At 42.3% G+C, this 17592-nt stretch overlaps 1 protein-coding gene across 3 annotated transcripts in view, besides 1 other annotated feature; it reads right to left on the reverse strand.

Annotated features, from left to right (window-relative positions):
* The window catches only part of GAREM1 (GRB2 associated regulator of MAPK1 subtype 1), a 207361-nt gene extending 197712 nt beyond the window's left edge, over positions 1-9649 (reverse strand). For all 3 annotated transcript variants that reach the window (NM_022751.3, NM_001242409.2, XM_017025919.2), the window contains exon 1: positions 9075-9649. In NM_022751.3, the coding sequence (NP_073588.1) occupies positions 9075-9195 (121 nt within the window). In that variant the 5' untranslated portion in view covers positions 9196-9649. The remainder of the gene's footprint in view (positions 1-9074) is intronic.
* Positions 9404-9923: a silencer, noted in NCBI's record as "silent region_9390". NCBI's record gives its function as "represses an Ori minimal core promoter by ATAC-STARR-seq in GM12878 lymphoblastoid cells {active_cell/tissue: GM12878}" and the evidence as "EXISTENCE:reporter gene assay evidence [ECO:0000049][PMID:35858748]".

Below are 17592 nucleotides of genomic sequence, written 5' to 3' on the forward strand. Positions count from 1 at the left end.
ATGCTTATTGGGTGCTTTCTACATGCCAGGCATTGTGCTAAGAGCTGAAAAATGGTAAAAATACTTTTAGATACCTCTAACCTGAAATTCAAGTAAGCAATTCTTATGAAACTGGGAGTAGGGGTACAGCAGGGTGGTAGGGGAGGCTTTTCATGTGGAAAGGTCTGAAATAATTCATCCTGCCAGGGGTGGTGGCTCATACCTGTAATTCCAGCACTTTGGGAGGCCAAAGCAGGCAAATGGCTCTATCTCAGGAGTTCAAGACCAGTCTGGGCACACAGCAAAACCCCATTTCCATAAAAAATACAAAAATTAGGCAGGTGTGGTGGCAAGTGCCTGTAGTCCCAGTTACTCGGGAAGCTGAGGTGGCAGGATCACTTGAGCCTGGGAGTTCAAGGCTGCAGTGAGCAATGATCGCACCACTGCACTCCAGTCTGAGGGACAGAGCAAGACTCTGTCTCAAAAAATAAATAAATAAATAATAATATTTTAGCAGGTATTTTATATTTTACAAAAACAATACATAAACCAGAAATAAAAGTTACTTTTCCCATGGCATATCATAGCTGGTGTTGTTAAGATTGAGAGTCCTGCTGAAGATGCATGGGGAGTTTATGAGTCTTCCTAGAACCGGCAGCTCAGTAAGTGAAAAGACAGATACCTCAGGAATCTCAAACAAAAATAAACGAGTTTACAAGCTGGTCTACAAGAACTTGCTATTTCAGTAAGGCAGCCAATGAGTGAAAGAGACTAAAATACTCCCTCTTTAAACTATAATGCAGTTGATCACAACAGTCAAACCAGTTTTCCTTTCAGAAATGAACTGAATGTCTTAAGATTTTTACAGACAATGTGGATACTCATTTCAGTTGACACTTATTTCCTTTGGATATACACCTAGTAGTGGGACTGCTGAATCACAAGGTAATTCTATTTTGAATTTTTGGAGGAACCTCCATACTGTTTTCCATAATGGCTTTATTAATTGAAATTTACACTCTTACATTCCCACCAACAGTATGTAAAGGTTCCCTTTTCTCCACATCCTTGCCAACACTTTTGTCTTTTTGCCATTCTATCTAGAGTAACATCGATCTCACTGCGATTTTGATTTGCCATTCCTGATTAATGACGGATGTTGACCATTTTTTTCATATACCTATAAGCCATTTGTATGTCTTCTTTTGAGAAATGCCTATTAAGGTGTTTTGCCCATTTTAAATAGGATTATTTGTCTTTTTGCTATGGAGTTGAGTTCCCTATACTCTGGATATTAACACCTTATCAGATACATAGTTTGCAAATATTTTCTCCTATTCTGCAAGTTGCCTTTTTGCTCCGTTGATTGTTTCCTTTGTCATGCAGAAGCTTTTTAGTATGATGTAATCCCATTCATCTATTTTTGCTTTTGTTGCCTATGTATTTAGGTCTTATCCAAAAAATCCTCGCCTAGTCTAATGTCATAAAGTGTTTCTACTATGTTTTCTTCCATGAGTAGTTTCATAGTTTCTGGTCTTACATTTAAGTCTTTAATCCATTTTGAGTTGATTTTTATATATGGCATTAGATAGGAGTTCAGTAATAGATGATAGATAGGGGTCCAGCAATCCCACTATGGGTTATATATAAAAAGGACATGAAATCAGCATGTAGTGAGTATAGCAGTGGCTACCAGAGACTGGGGAGGGCAGAGAAAAGCGGGGCAACTGGGGGAGGTTGGCCATTGGGTACAATGTTACAATTAAATAAAAGGAAGAATAAGTGTCCTACTGCACAGTGGGGTGACTACAGTCAACAACAGGTATTGCATATCTCAAAATAGGTGGAAGAGAGGATTTTATATGTTCCCACTACAAAAAAAAAAGATAAATATTTGAGGTGATGGATATGCTAATTAGCCTGATTTGATCATTGCATAATGTGTACATATACTGAAATGCCACATTGTACTCCATAAATATGTATTAATATAATGATTGTGTCAATTAAAAATTAAAAAGTTATACTTTTTAACTAGTATATGTAAATATTCACCTTACATTCAAGATACTTGTTTTCCTTTCTAAATGGATATTACAGTACTGTTCTCTGGAAAAAAAAATAAAAAGACTTTCAAAACAGCCATCTTACTTGAAAAAAAAGACACTGGAAGAGCTATCTGCAAATCTTGTCCTGTGGGTCTAGGTTTATCACTGTCCACTGCCTGCTACAATGTCCTCTCCTATTTTTTTCTCATCATTTTTAGGCACAGCCAATAGTCAGAATAGGTCAAAACTGGAAGTAAGTGAAAGTATACCATATATCAATGAAAATTAAAGAGAGTTTTTTAAATCACTTTTTTTTTTTTTTTTTTTGAGACGGAGTCTTGCTCTGTCGCCCAGGCCGGGGTGCAGTGATGTGATCTCAGCTCACTGCAAACTCCACCTCCCGGGTTCAAGCGGTTCTTCTGCCTCAGCCTCCCGAGTAGCTGGGACTACAGGCACATGCCACCACACCCAGCTAATTTTTTGTAGTTTTAGTAGAGACAGGGTTTCACCGTGTTAGCCTGGATGATCTTGATCTCCTGACCTCGTGATCCGCCCACCTCAGCCTCCCAAAGTGCTGGGATTACAGGCGTGAGCCACTGCGCCCGGCCTAAATCACTCACTTTGTGTATAACATTATACTAGGCACTTCTTTCCTGCTAACCATTATACAACTATAGGTACAAAAAAATGATCATCCATCAGTGAAAATAATGATGAGTACGTGGTTAAAAAAAAAAAAAAAAAAGGCTGGGCGTGGTGGCTCATGCCTGTAATCCCAGCACTTTGAGAGGCCAAGGCAGGCAGATGATCATTTGAGGTCAGGAGTTCAAGACCAACCTGGCCAATATGGTGAAACCCCATCTCTACTAAAAATACAAAAATTAGTTGGGCGTGGTAGTGCATGCCTGTAAGCCCAGCTACTTGGGAGGCTGAAGCAGGAGAATTGCTTGAACCCAGGAGACAGGAGTTACAGTTAGCCAAGATTGAGCCACTGCACTCCAGCCTGGGCGACACAAAAAGAAAAAAAAAAGATGTAAGTGTCTAAGCTCACTGTTTCGGTACCATTTGGTAAAACTCACCTGTGATTCTGGATTAAATTAAAAGTTCCTGGCCAGATGTGGTGGCTCAGGCCTACATAGTCTCAGGTACCTGAGAGGCTGAGGCCAGAGGATCATCTGAGCCCAGGAGTCTGAGGGCAACCTCAGCAACAAAACGAGAACCCATCTCTTTTTTTAAAAAAGTAAAGTTCCTTTCCAAACTCCTCCAGTCCCTCCGAAGCCCAATCTTGGTTAGATTAGTCAGTTTATAACACTTTCTGTCTGATAAAGACCTTTCGCCACCTTTCTATAACCTGCGGATTACCAGATCAATAACCTGGAATACTCAAAACGAAACACACTCAAGTCACCCAGAGCATTTCTCTCAGCTTCTTCTTCTGTACAAAGACAATAAAACCTGCTGCTACCTAAATGATATGCTATACTCTGAAGCCTCCCTCAACTGATCCGTATCTACTACAGCCATCTCACACATGTATTTGACATATATTATTGCATTTAATTCCTATAATAAGTAGAATGTAAGCACCACAAAGACATACAGTTTTGTCTGATTTGTTCAGTGCTATAGTCCCAACACCTGTAACAGGGCTTGTCACATAGCAGGGGCTTAGTTAAGTGTTAGTTGACTGAATAAACAATTTACTGAATGAAGAATAGGGGCAAGTATAACGTCTAGTTTTCCTACACGGGAAAACTACAAATCAAAGGGATTACAAGACCTGACCAAGATCACATGACTATGAAATGGCAGTACCTCTAACAGAACGAAGGTCTCTTGGCTCCAAATCCAGTATTCTTTAAATTATCATTCCCCCCACCCTGGCCATGTGTACTCTCTTAAAATACAGAATGCCAGGAGAAATGAAGCCACAAGATGAACACCGAACATCTTCCAAGAGCAAAACTAAGTTACTTTGGGAAAAAGAAAAGAAAAGAAAAAGAAAAAGACATCAATTACAAAGTAGATTTTGAGAACTTACTTCAATTTCAATGATAAAACATGGATCCGAGAAAGACCTCTGATGTTTACAAACAGCCACTTGGAGCCTCCCTGGGGCCTAAGTGTCCATGTTTTTGCTCCTAGAGGCCAGTAAATGATAAAGCTGCAGAAGCCTCTGAGCACAAAGTAAGGACCAAATTTCCCACAGTCCCAACACATCCGGGACTTAGAATCTGATCTGATTCCTATGCACAGCCAGGAAGGAGAGACGGTCACTGCTCCTGTTCTACCTACTTAGCAGTCTCCTACTCTTTTTCTTCCCTCTCCCTGCCTTTCCATGCAGCCTTGGTCTTCCTTTTCCTTTCAGCAAACAGGGCCATTAACACATCTTTTATTGTGCTAGACCAGCATTCTTTAAACTGGGGTACATGTTTGGGGCAAAGCTAACACTTCCCAAGGGTCTCATCATCACAACTGTAAAGGAATCAGTTTCTACATTTGAAATTTCCAAACGTACTCTTGTTTAAAAATTAATGGGCTTGGGTCCACGCTTGCGTTGGACATCCATCCTGTGATGACCTTCACTGTGATGGAAGGAACCTGTCGTTCACCATCTCCCCTTCACAATGGTTCTTCACTCACTTTACAAAAGTAATGCACTTGTATTACCTTCTCTACATCTTTCTAAGATGCATTGCCTGAGGGTGAAAAGACCTTGGGTAGAGAAACAAACAAAGGAACAAAAATATTGATTCGTGTTGCAGGGTTAAAGTCTCCACTATTTAGGTAACAACTATTTCTGTTAAGTCAGGTAATTTCCAATTCTTTGTTTTAAAAACAACCAGAAATCATTAAATATTGAAAGTCTTATGATCAAAATAAATACGAAATACTAGATTTCAATCTATATACTTTTTTTTTTGGTTACAGAGAGTATGGCAGAGTGATCAATAGAATACTTTCAAGCATAAAAATATATTACACTGAGACAGAATTCTATACAGCGGAAGAGAAATGGAGTAAGAATTTAAAGAGATAAAGAAAAGGTGTAAAATGTTTAACTTTCAAAAGATTGATTCTTGAATCTCATGAATTTTTAAACAAATGATATTAGAAATCAAATATATATTTTACTAGAGTTTTTAGAATGATGTAATACTTTAAAATATGAATAGTTACAATATGCTGAGAAATTACATCCCCTGCAAGCATTTAAACTTAGAATGAAAAGTTTTAGCATTTAACTGAAAAATGTGCTTAGGGACAGAGTTTCACCAAATCTTTTAGGAGGCATAGAAGCAAAAAGGTTGTAAGAATGCTACTCTAACACAAGCCTTCAGGGTCTATCCAAGATGAAATGAGGAGGAGAGAGAAAATGAACAATTTCCCACCCATCCAGTTTTGAGTGAGGATGGTTGGGGGTGGAGGATTAGTATTTTCTCCATCCTCTCCTTGGTCCTAAGCACATTTGCTGAACCCAGTTCTAAAGTCAACAGTTTATAAGACTGATGATCAATCAGTTTAAATATCTGATCTTAATTGCACTGCTGACTGGGCTTAGACCTCAGCTGATGAGATACATCTCATCAAATCTCCCAAGGAGAATTGCTAGAGTACCTTTCTCTGGGTTCTCCAGAAAAACTTGTGGGGCAACATTTATAAAGGCTCAATTATTTTGTATTTATCTTATCATACAAAGGCAAATTTCACCATCAAGGATGTAATATTGAACACATCTATCTACCTGGCACTTCAGGAGTGGCATGTATAATGCAAAGAATTGGAGAGTTCTTTATATATTGTGTAGTGAATATTCATTCTAAGGATGGCAAATGTCCTGAAGAGTCATCTCAACAGACACATCTACGTTACTAGGCCCTCAAACCCCAATGTTTTTTTTCTCCTGTTCTGTAACCTCTTCTTCCCCACTGCCTCTTGCCTCTTTTCAGCCACTCCTTTGGCAAGCAGAAAGTTGTATGTATGATGGATGAGGCCAGCACTTAATTTGGTGTCTACACTGTTTTTAAAATATTGACTTTCCAGTCCTCAAGCTCTCAGAGAGACAGTGAACCTATTTAGAGCAGATGTCAGAACAACTTCAACCCTTCTCTCCTTTAGTACCAGGAGGTAGCCCAGTTTGAGATAAGAGGTCAGTCTTCAGAGTCAGAAGGTTGGCTGGAAATTCCACTCCACCATTTACTAGGTACGAGTCTTCAGGCAAGTCAATTTTTCTGAATCTTAGGTTCCTGAAGTTCTTAAAAATTGTGTTGCTGAGGATTTGAGACAATACATATTATGCATCTAGAAATGTACCAGCCCATAGTAGGCTTCTGATAATCAATAGTTGTGAAATTAGATTTTTTAATGTTCTTTAAAAATTATTTAAAATTAGCCAATCATTTCCTCTTGGCATAATGTCAACTAGTGGCATGTTTTTCAATTTTGTTCTAGTCTCTTTAAAAACAAGTGATTTGAAAAATGACTATCTTTCATGTCTAAGTATAGGGTGGGCGTGTGCAGATGTAAAATGTACCTGCAGTACTAAAACTGGGGAAAAGGCAAACACAGGATGAGGACAACACAAAACTTAAGATTTCACCTATAACATTTATAAATATACCAGCATGTCCTCAACCTGTCCTAAACTGTGTGAAACATGTTTAAAAACATGCAAAGAATCTATGATTGACTCTTTTAAAGTCTACCCAAATTAAACTGCTATAACAACACTTTCCCCAATCAAATTAGAAGAGAATTTTTTGGTAAATACTTAATATTTTCAGGATGTGGGCAGACTGATACTATCACAATGCTCACGTTGGTGTAAACGAGGATTTCCTTTAGTCTCTAAAGCAATTTGACAATGTGTATCAAGGATTTTAATAGGACTGACATGCTTGTTCAGCAAAGTAGAAATACATTCTAACCAAAAAACTCCCAGATGTATGTACAACAGTATTCATTACATCACAATTTTTAATAGCACAAAATAATACAGCTTAATAATGTCCACAATAGGGGATGAAATTACTTGGCATAGCTTAGCCCATGGACTCTTTGGCAGCTATTAAAAATCATGTTGACAAAAATATTTAAATGAGATGGGATTGTTAAGTGAAAGAAGCAAGGTATAAAGCAGTATCTGGCAATGATTCCAAATTTGTATGTGCCACTATGATTCTCAAGCGGCAATAAGGAAATAAGAGAAATTTACAATGAAGAATTGGAATTACATATAGTGATCAAAATCCATTCCACAGCTTGAAAGGACACAGTGTTAAGACTTGCTACCCACGTCCTCATTTTAGAAAGAAGTGTGGGATGAGTACACTGCTGATTCAGATCCTTTTTATGAATGGCAGGGATAGAAAAGTGGGAAATAAAACTGAAAGTCATGTCGGAAAGTGAGATATTCCACCCCTTTAAACTTTCAGTTTAATGAAGCTTTTGAGTGGCTTTTACACCACATGCAGCAATGCTCTCTGCCTAGCTAGCAAATGTGGCAGTGTGCAGAGATGAGAGAAGGTAGGAAAAGGTAAGGACTCACAATCTGCCAATATACACAATTTTGGAGGAGGAAATGAAACGCTGTGAATACAAACACACACACCAGTTCAGGTCTGCAGATGCTATTTAAAGCACACAACATTTTCCCACCCCCACTCGAAGCAGAAACGCCTCAACACACCACCTGTGCGTCCCCCCCCCCCGCCCCCACCCCACCGCTTCAACAGCTACTGTGATCTGCACTTCATTACTAGTTTTAAAACTTCCAGCTTATTCCCAATGCACCCTACTACTACCAACAATCAAACGAGGATAGCAAGCAAGCCAAGATTGTTTTCCAGCCTTCACGAACTTTCCTGCATCTATTTTTCACATCAGATATACAAATGTCTAATCAAACCCCACAGATAAGAAACAGAATAAAAACTCCTTTGTGTATGTATACATCTCACGTTACCCACTCTTCTACCCCAGGAAACAAGGAGTAACCCTAGTGCCTGTGACTCGAAATGACATCTTTCTGCTTAGTGTTCTTCTGACCTGGCCTGTGTAGTCACAGCTCTGCCTGCCTGCCAGCCTGGGCCCGTGTACTTCCACAGCTGCCCCACAGCAGGGCAGGCTTCTTTCTGCAAACAGTCTAAAATCGCATGACGCCAAAGCCCACTGAAGTTATGATGAAAACAAGAGAAGACCAAACACACCTAAATTGCCACCTTACGTGTCATCACTCTCCAACTGAAAGGTGTCTACTTGCTTGACAGTATGCGCAACTATGTGTTTGCAGCTGTCACACCGCAGAATAAACAGTTGGAGGAAGGAGTTGGGTGGGTTTCTGGTGGTCAGTTTCAGGAAATACACCCTTCTTAGTTCTGAGCTCAGGTTCCGAATCAATACGTTTTGGAGACTTATTTTTTTTTCCAGACTGGAAATGCGCTAAACCTAATAGTTAACCTTAAGCATGCCATCACTTCTGCTGAAAACATTTTCTACACACAGCCCCAAATTACTTTCAGTTGGGTTAAACAAAACAGACAAGCTGTAATACAAGGTCTCTGAGAAATGTGATCCTTTTCAATGGTCACCCAGGAGCTTTTCCTTTAAATCTGTTTGGCGGGGGATGGGGGAGATAGGGAGGAGAGCACCCAAATTAAGATGCCACCCGGAGCACAATGATATTCTCAAGAAAGTTGCCTAAGATAACTCTTCAGGGTTTCCCTGGTTGAGTAATTCTTGCAGGAGGGTGGGGAGGGATATCTGGCGTCCAAGATTACGATCTGCAGAGGTCTCCCTATGTTGACTTTTTTTTTAGGGCGTCCTTTTTAATTATACTGCAAGGACTCTGATTTCCACCTCCTTGTCTGCTGCTGGGGGGAGTTGAGAGCAACGCGCCAGGGCTGCGGCAGCCGCTCGGGCCAACTCCGGCGCTCAGGGGCGGGCAGCCCACTCCCCGCGGGTCCCACCCTCTCCAGCACACGCGCGCACACCCGCGTGGAGACGGCTGTCCTCGCCCGTCTGCCCCGCGCCCCAGCTGGGACTCACCGTTGTCCAGGCGCGCGATCTGGGGCAGCCGGTAAGTGCTGACCAGGAGGTCGAGCGGCACGGCCACCGAGCTCCACTTCACATCCTTGAGGCTGCAGCCCAGCGAGGGCGCCGGGTCCATCTTCCCCGAAGCCTCCTGTCCCGCGCTCCCCCGCCGCCGCCACCGGCACCACCCGCGCCTCGGCGGCCGCCGCTGCTCGCGCTCGCGGTCTGGGGCGCGCGGGAGGCGCCGGGCAGCTCCGGCCGCGGGCAGCCGGGGGGGCGCGGCGACTGGGGCGGCCCGGAGGGAGGGGGCCGGCGCCCGGCTCAGCTGCCGCTGCGGGGCATGGCTGGGGCGCCCCGCGTGCCCTCACGCCCGGAGAAGACTCAGAGCAGCCGCGCGGCTGCGGGCGGCGGCGGCGGCCCGGGTGGCTGCGGCGGCTCCCGCTCCGCCTCCTCCTCTGGCCCTGGGTCTGCAGCTGCGGCGGCCGCCCGCTCGCCTCCTCCTCCTCTTACCCCTCCTTCCCTCCGCCTCGAGCGTGTGAGGAGGAGCCGCGGGTCTGAGAAACGCCATAGCAGCGCTCCCAGCACTGACTAATCAACAAGGTGCGAGCAACGCCTGCGCAGCTCTGGGAGACACCGCCTCCGCCTCCCAGGCGCCGCCCGCTCCGCCCCCAGCTCGGCCTCCGCCTCCCGCAGCTCCCGCGGCCCGGCAGGCTCGCGTCAGCTCCCCGGCCGGGGCCGCCAGCGCCCGCGGCTCGGCGCGCTCCGCAAGCTTTAGCTCTCGCTCCCCCGTCCGACCACTCGGGCGCCCTGCAGTCTCGCCGGGTGCTGCTGCGCGCCCCGGCTCCTTCCCCGCCCAGGCCCGTCCCCGGAGCCCGGGAATTGCCGAGCGAGCTCAGGTATCGCTCCCTGAGTCGTGGTGTCGGGCACCGTCCGCCTCCACTCCCATCCTGGCAATGCGGTGGCTAAATACAAGGCACAAAAGATACCTTTAGTGGCGCTCCCTCTTGCTTCCCGGTGACCCAGACTTTGGTCAGAAGAGTACCACAGCCCAACGGGGCTGCGGACGGCAGGCGTGGAGCACGCCTTGGCGTTTCCCCTCAACCCTACTCCTCTACCATCGGAGCTGGAAATGACTCCCAACAGTCTCAGCTTTGGCTACTAGATAAGATAAAAAGGGCAAAGCACCGAAAAGCGGAAAGGTGGTGGGTGATGAGTACCCACATACAGGAAGGTGGCCATTCGGTCTAGGACCTTCACTGAGTGAACGAGCTGCTGGAGGCGACGGGAGTTGATGAGGCCACCAAACACCGTAGACACGGAGATGGGAAGGGAAAACTAGGTTACTGGGAGGCTGCTGGGGTCAGCTGTTCTCACCCGCTTTTCCCATTCAGTTCTCTTCTCATCTTAAAGGTTGGGATCATTCTCGTTTTCTAGGTATATGTACCAAGACATTAGGTAGTTTGGCAAGATTTTATAACTCGTAGATGGCCGTGCTGGGATTCAAACCTACAGTTTGCTTTGCATGATCAATCATTCTCTGTCTCTCCCGATGTTTGACACGGCCTGCTCACTGTGGACAGAGCTCAGAATATAAAGGTGGCATGTCCTGCCTTGTATGCTAATCTGCTTTCTTTCTTTCTGTCTTTCTTTCTCTTTCTTTCGCTTGCTTAACATTTTGTTAAAATAGCAGAGGTGAGTGGTTGCTAAGGTTGCGTATCTGCTCTGTTTTCAACACGTATTCAATGTTCAGTGCTTGATAAGGTACAGCAAGTACCCGCTTCGCCAGCCCAAGGGGACTTGAAAACATCCCGCTGCCTTTTCGTGGCCTGGCTTAAAAGGTCTGTGCTAATAAACCACTCCATTAACATTTGAAGAAAAACACAGATTCTTCTACACCCACCTTCCTGATCCTCTCACTTTGAAGCATTAGCGATAATTTTCACAAAATTCATCTGAAAGTTTTGACCTTTGGGTCATTCACATTGATTTTTTGAAAAAGTCTTGGAAAAAAGTGGGAAGTATTTTACTATAGAGTGTATGCAGAATCAGAAGTCCATAAAGTTCTAAGAATTGCTCACATAGAGTGTTTCGGCCGGGCGCGGTGGCTCACGCCTGTAATCCCAGCACTTTGGGAGGCCGAGGCGGGCGGATCACCTGAGGTCAGGAGTTTGAGACCAGCTTGGCCAACGTGGTGAAACCCCGTCTCCCGTCTCTACTAAAAATACAGAAAGTTAGCCGGGCGTGGGGGCAGGTGCCTGTAATCCCAGCTACTCAGGAGGCTGAGGCAGGAGAATCGCTTGAACCCGGGAGGCGGAGGTTGCAGTGAGCCGAGATCGTGCCATTGCACGCTGGCCTGGGCAACAAGAGCGAAACTCTGTCTGAAAAAAAAAAGTTTCAAAACTTTAAAGATTTAAGTGCCAGCTAATTTCTTTTTCTGAATAATTAATCACTTCTGGAAATAAAGCTCAGAATCCAAAAATGACATAGGAAACATCTAAGATTGGGCAGGGTCAAGGGTCTTTCAACCTGTAAGTAGATCCTAAACCCTTATATGGTAGGCTGATTTTTAAAAAAATGACTTTGTTACTTTTATATTCTCTTTAAAAGCTTCAGAGAATAAGAGAAGTAGTTTCCTCTCACAAAAGGACTGGTGACTTTTGACCTAAAGACAAGATAAAAAGTAAAAAGATTAATGTAATCAACTTTTTAAAAATCAATAAAGGACTTACATTAGATCTGTTATTGCTGACCTTGCAGAAAAGGTTTTATTTCAATCTTGAGTATTAAAAGGAAGAAATTTTAGTGAGCTGCAAATTCTTAGTAAGTTTCATGTCCTGGAAGAACTCTTACAGAAGGATTTTATTTGTGAGATGGAGAGTTTTGGTTAAACTGCCGAAAACAAAAACAAAAAGCAGTTGAGAGGGGTAATCTTTCAGTCTGGCTGAACTGTACTTCCAAACATGTTTCTTAAGGTTGTTGGAACAATGCAAACTGTGTATACAAAAGCATTACAACTTGGTGCAGGGGCAAAGCTTACAGGACTTTGAAGTTTATGAAAAGGAACATCCAAGAAAAGTTTTCTTTAAGGCAACAATTGATGCACTGGTCCCTTGTTCCTACTAAGTACCTTTACAAACTGAGATTTGTGAATTAAAATATCAGCTCCAGAGCCAGATGGCTTGGATTTGATTAGTGGCTCTGCTTCTATTTAATGTCATGGGAAACTTGCTGTTTCCTCCTCTGAAAAATGAAGATAATAATAGTACTCATCTCATAGGGTTGATATGAGAATTTAATCATTTAATATACATTTAGCATTTAGAATAGTGCCAGATGCATAGGAAGTGCTATGGAAGTATTAACATTTGCTATTATTATTAAAAACCATTGGCTTTAAAGGGCAAAATTTATAGAAAAGATGAAGAGATAAATGCTGACGATTTGAATAGATTTGAAAAATAAGAAATGATTAGATTTGGGAAAATAGTTATATCAGGCAAGGAGTAGAAGAACACTTTTTAAATGACAAACCTAGCTGGGGGACTTCATTGCAAATCTAGAGTCTGTGGGGTTAATTTATTCCACAGTGAACCCGCCTCCTACCCAGCAGACCCAGGCAGTGATCATGAAGACTCTGTATATGCTATTGATAAGCCCAAAGGTGAATCAGGTAAATGACACTACAGGACTCAAGTGACAGACACTTGCCAGCTTCCTAACTGTGAGTCTACTGTTTATACATGCATAACTTGTTAATTCTCTGCATTATCAGCTTTGCAAGATAAAAATATTACATATTGGTTTTCCTCATATCAGAGTGTCCTGGCTCACATAATATTCTAGCAGTCAAGTGCAATATCAAAGTTCACAGCCCTAGTGATTTTTTAGGTCTCCCCATTCTTTCCCCTTTCACTTAATTGCCATGTGATCCCCAGAGCTAACTTGAAAGACAGTCCCTAGCTAATGCTTTTTGCAGTATCTATATCGTCATTGTCTATGAAATTAAGTGTAGAGCCCTTGGCATGGCGTAGAAGGTTCTTCCCTTATGTGGCTGGGTCTGCCTCCCTAACCTCACTCCTGTTTGGCTACCTTCTAATACCCTATGATCTGGGGTAGCACCTGCTTGTAGTTGCCCAAATGTATCATGGTAATGCATACCCTTGTAGAGCTTGTTCTCTCAGCTTAGAATGCCTTTCTCCTTTTCTCTTACTGTGAAAACTTCATTCCAGCTCCAGCTTCCTGCATTCCATGAGCTGCTGTATCTCCTCCTCCAAGGAGATTCCTTTTTCTGTGTTACCATTGCACCTGCAATACCCTCTTTTGACTGTACTAGTTGCACTCTGATTAATTATCTTCCTATATTAGCTTTGCCTACTAGACAACAATTGACTGTGGACACAAAGAGTTTTTTTTTTTTTTTACCTCTGTTTTACCAGCTCCTATTACCATGCCTGGCACACAGCAAGTGCTCAATTAATGTTTGTTGAATTGAGTAATCAATGCACTGAGTCAACTTCTCACTCTATATTATTTTGTAGGTCACTGCAACTCCTTTTTTTCCCCAAGCCAAATGGTATACAGCTTTAAAATTTTATTTACTTTATTTTTTCATTTCATTTTTTATTTTATTTATTTATTTTTTTGAGACAGGGTCTCTCTCTGTGGCCTAGGCTGGATGCAGTGGCACTATCATGGCTCACTGCAGCCGCCAACTCCTGGGCTCAAGTGATCTTCTTGCCTCAACCTCCCAAGTAGCTAGGACTACACTCATATGCCACCATGCCTGGCTAATCTTTTTTATTTTTTGTAGAAACCAGGTCTTGCTATGTTGCCCAGGCAGGTCTTGAATTCCTGGGCTCAAGCAGTCTACCCACCTAGACCTCTCAAAGTGCTGGGAGCTACCACGCTTGACCTTGTATCCAGCTTTATTAAGATACTTTTCAGCCGGGCCCAGTGGCTCACGCCTGTAATCCCAACACTTAGGGAGGCCGAGGCGGACGGATCACGAGGTCAGGAGATCGAGACTATCTTGGCTGACATGGTGAAACCCCATCTCTACTAAAATACAAAAAATTAGCTAGACATGGTTGCGCGTGCCTGTAATCCCAGCTACTTGGGAGGCTCAGGCAGGGGAATCGCTTGAACCCAGGAGGCGGAGGTTGCAGTGACCTGAAATTGCGCCACTTAACTCCAGCCTGACGACAGAGCAAGACTCCGTCTCAAAAAAAAAAAAGATACTTTTCATAAACAACCATGGTATCAGGCAGGACATGTGCAGACAGTCATTAAGAGTATAGAACAGCTTTCAAATTCTCTCCTTCAATGGACTACTCAAATCAGAAAGCCACTCTAAAACCCAAACGAACTCTTCATTTGATACCCTGACCCAGCCACGTAAGGGAAGAACCTTCTATGCCATGCCAAGGGCTTTACACTTAATTTCATAGAAAATGAGGATATAGATACTGCAAAAGGCATTAGCCAGGGACTGTCTTTCAAGTTAGCTCTGGGGATCACATGGCAATTAAGTGAAAGGGAAAAGAATGTGGAGACCTAAAAAATCACTAGGGCTGTGAACTTTGATATCACACTTGACCGCTAGAATATTATGTGAGCCAGGACACTCTGATATGAGGAAAACCAACATGGAAGGGAAAGTTTACATGAAGGGTTGACATTTCACATTTAGCATGTTGTTTAATTTTTCATGAGCCAACCCTGACTTTCAAGAAATGGTGGAATTTATCTGACGAGCCACAGTCTAGAACAGGAACTGCTGCTCTTTTGAGGGATGCCATCTCAATGGTACCACTGGAAAGTCCAGATTGCCTGGCACACTGGTAACTGATTTTGGGAGGGTCTGGTTCCAACAGGTGTATGGGTTTAAGGGAGTTAAATCTATGCTGAAGGCAGAGAGCGAGAAGAGGACATAAAAATGCATTTTAGTTTTTCCACACCACCGGGCATTTGTGCCAAGGTGGCTATGTGTGTCAACCTCAAGGAATCCTTCCTCCTGGATGCCAAGAGGAAGTCTCTTAAAACTAGAAAGGAAAGGTATTTTCCCACATCAATTCAGCTTCAGGAACATTCTATTAGTAATATATGCCCCTTCCTCAGAAAACCACAATGAAGTGTTTGGTGTGCTAACAACATAGCCTAAAAGAACAGGAAAACAAAATTCTGCACTTTTATATAATTTGGCAAAAAATCATATTTCAGACTGCCGTCACCAGAGTACACAGATACTGAAAATGCACACACTGCACTCGGCATCTTCAGCGCCTCAGCTTCCTGTGCCTGGTCTGTTTAGGCATCTTCATTTTCTGCAGGGTTATTCCCATCCTTGCCAGCATCAAGAATGCTTTTTTTCCTTTGAGTACCTTCTCTCCCTCCTTTGCAAGGGCCTTTTTAGGTTTGGGCTCTGGCTTAGGAGAAGCAGATTTAGCAAACAACCTTGCAAGTCTTTTGTGGTTCATCCTTCACCTTGACTTTATCTTCTTAGCATCCCCTTCATCTTTTCTCTTGGGCAGGTTGGTGACTGCAGTAGGACATAAGTGCTGGAATCAGAGATGCAACAGCCTGCGAGCTTTGCTCAGTCCCGGGGTCATTCTTGCCTCTTTCACACTGCTCTAATCTCTTAATTATAAACAACATTCATCAAGTCTAGAAATGTTCAAGATTTTTGAGATTTTAATTCCAAATAGCAATGTTTCCTATCAGATTGGCCCCCAATTCTTTTTATTCATCTGAAAATTTGAATTTCATTGAATTCAAGATCTGCACTCTTATTACCCAAGTAGAGATTATGCTTCTAGACTAGCAGTTCCAACATGTATTAAAACCATTAGCATATGTGTTATTGTTTGTTAATTTTTTATCTTCCTTACTAGGACTTCACCCCCAGAAGAGCTTTCTTTATTATCTCTGCATCCCTAGCATTTGGCATATAGTAGACAGTGTGTGTCTGTGTGTGTGTGTGTGTGTGTGTGTGTGTGTGTGTAGTGAATAGATATATAGTGTGATATATATGCATGCATATATATTGTGATATACATATGTTGAATGGATAAAAATACCATAAAACAGCATATCTCATATGGACACTTTCTGAAAGTCTCTTAAAAAATACTCAAACTGGCTGGGCGCAGTGGCTCATGCCCGTAATCCCAGCACTTTGGGAGGCTGAGGCAGGCGGGTCACTTTTGGTCAGTAGTTACAGCCTGGCCAACATGGTGAAACCCCATCCCTACTAAAAATACAAAAATTAGCCAGGCATGGTGGTGCGTGCCAGTAATCCCAGCTACTGGGGAGGCTGAGGTAGGAGAATCACTTGAACCTGGGAGACAGAGGTTGCAGTAAGCCAAGAGCACGCCACTGCATTCCAGCCTGGGTGACAGAGCAAGACTCTGTCTCAAAAAAAAAAAAAAAAAAAAAAAAAGCTCAAATTTACTGTCATTGCTCCCTTTTGATATAGGACATGCCTTTCTTAAGTAGATCACTGGATAAGACAGATATTACAGTGCCAATATAGGAATATTAAGGAAAATATCACCAGTTGCAAATTAAATTTCATGCAGGCTTGTTTGCTTTTAAAACAATACATAACAAATCTCCATTTAGAAATACATATCACATTGTGACCCAGTACACACATACATATAAATTGAAACAAAAGTTATATAAAACAGTATTTATTTGTATACTTATCATATCAACTGCATCCTGATCTTTTACTTTTTATTTATTTCTTTATTTTTAGTGCTAATCATGACCCACTAACTTTATAGATTTCACAATCTATAATGGGTCACAACCTGCAATTTAAAATCCACCATTCAAAATAATAGTTTCTTTTGTGCATTAAGTATTTACATTTCACTTGATCTTAGCCAAAAGGCCGAGAAGCGATGAGTATTTACATTTCATCAAAAGAAGGAGCATTATGGTTAAAATTGTTGGAGCTTCTAAAATTTATGAATACTCAGAAGCAAAACTGTAGATGATAAGAATTTAATTATTTAATTTACCAAAATCATCATATATGTTTCTCTATGTGTATGTGTATGCATGTGTATGTGTAACTTCATAGGTTCTAAGTTTGGGTTTATGAAGAAGCTAGCTCTTTGTGGGTGGTGCTTCTACTTTTACTCTCAGCCAAGCACAAGACCTCCTCTTGAGAAGCTGCTGGTAGTGAGAAATGATCCTGGGTGGGGCGTGGCTTTTCTGCTGTTTGAATAAATTCTTTCTGAAAGTAAAGCAGAATTGCTAACTCATCACTAATTATTCCTTGTGCATATGTGAATGAACTGTTTTTAATACTACACTTGAAGTATTGGTTAAAGAAACAGATAGCTTAATTGGTTATGTCATTTATGAACTAAATAAGCTAAGATTCTTTCTGCCTACAAGAGTCTATGGTTTATGACATAATTTAGATTTTTCTCAATGTATTTATCTACTTAATGTGGCAAAGCACAGGTAGGAAACCTTTCATTTTGTTATTTTTAGCGTCAAACTAATCATTCATATTATT

This window comes from Homo sapiens, chromosome 18 (assembly GCF_000001405.40).
Source record: "Homo sapiens chromosome 18, GRCh38.p14 Primary Assembly".
NCBI classification, from domain to species: Eukaryota; Metazoa; Chordata; class Mammalia; order Primates; family Hominidae; genus Homo; species Homo sapiens.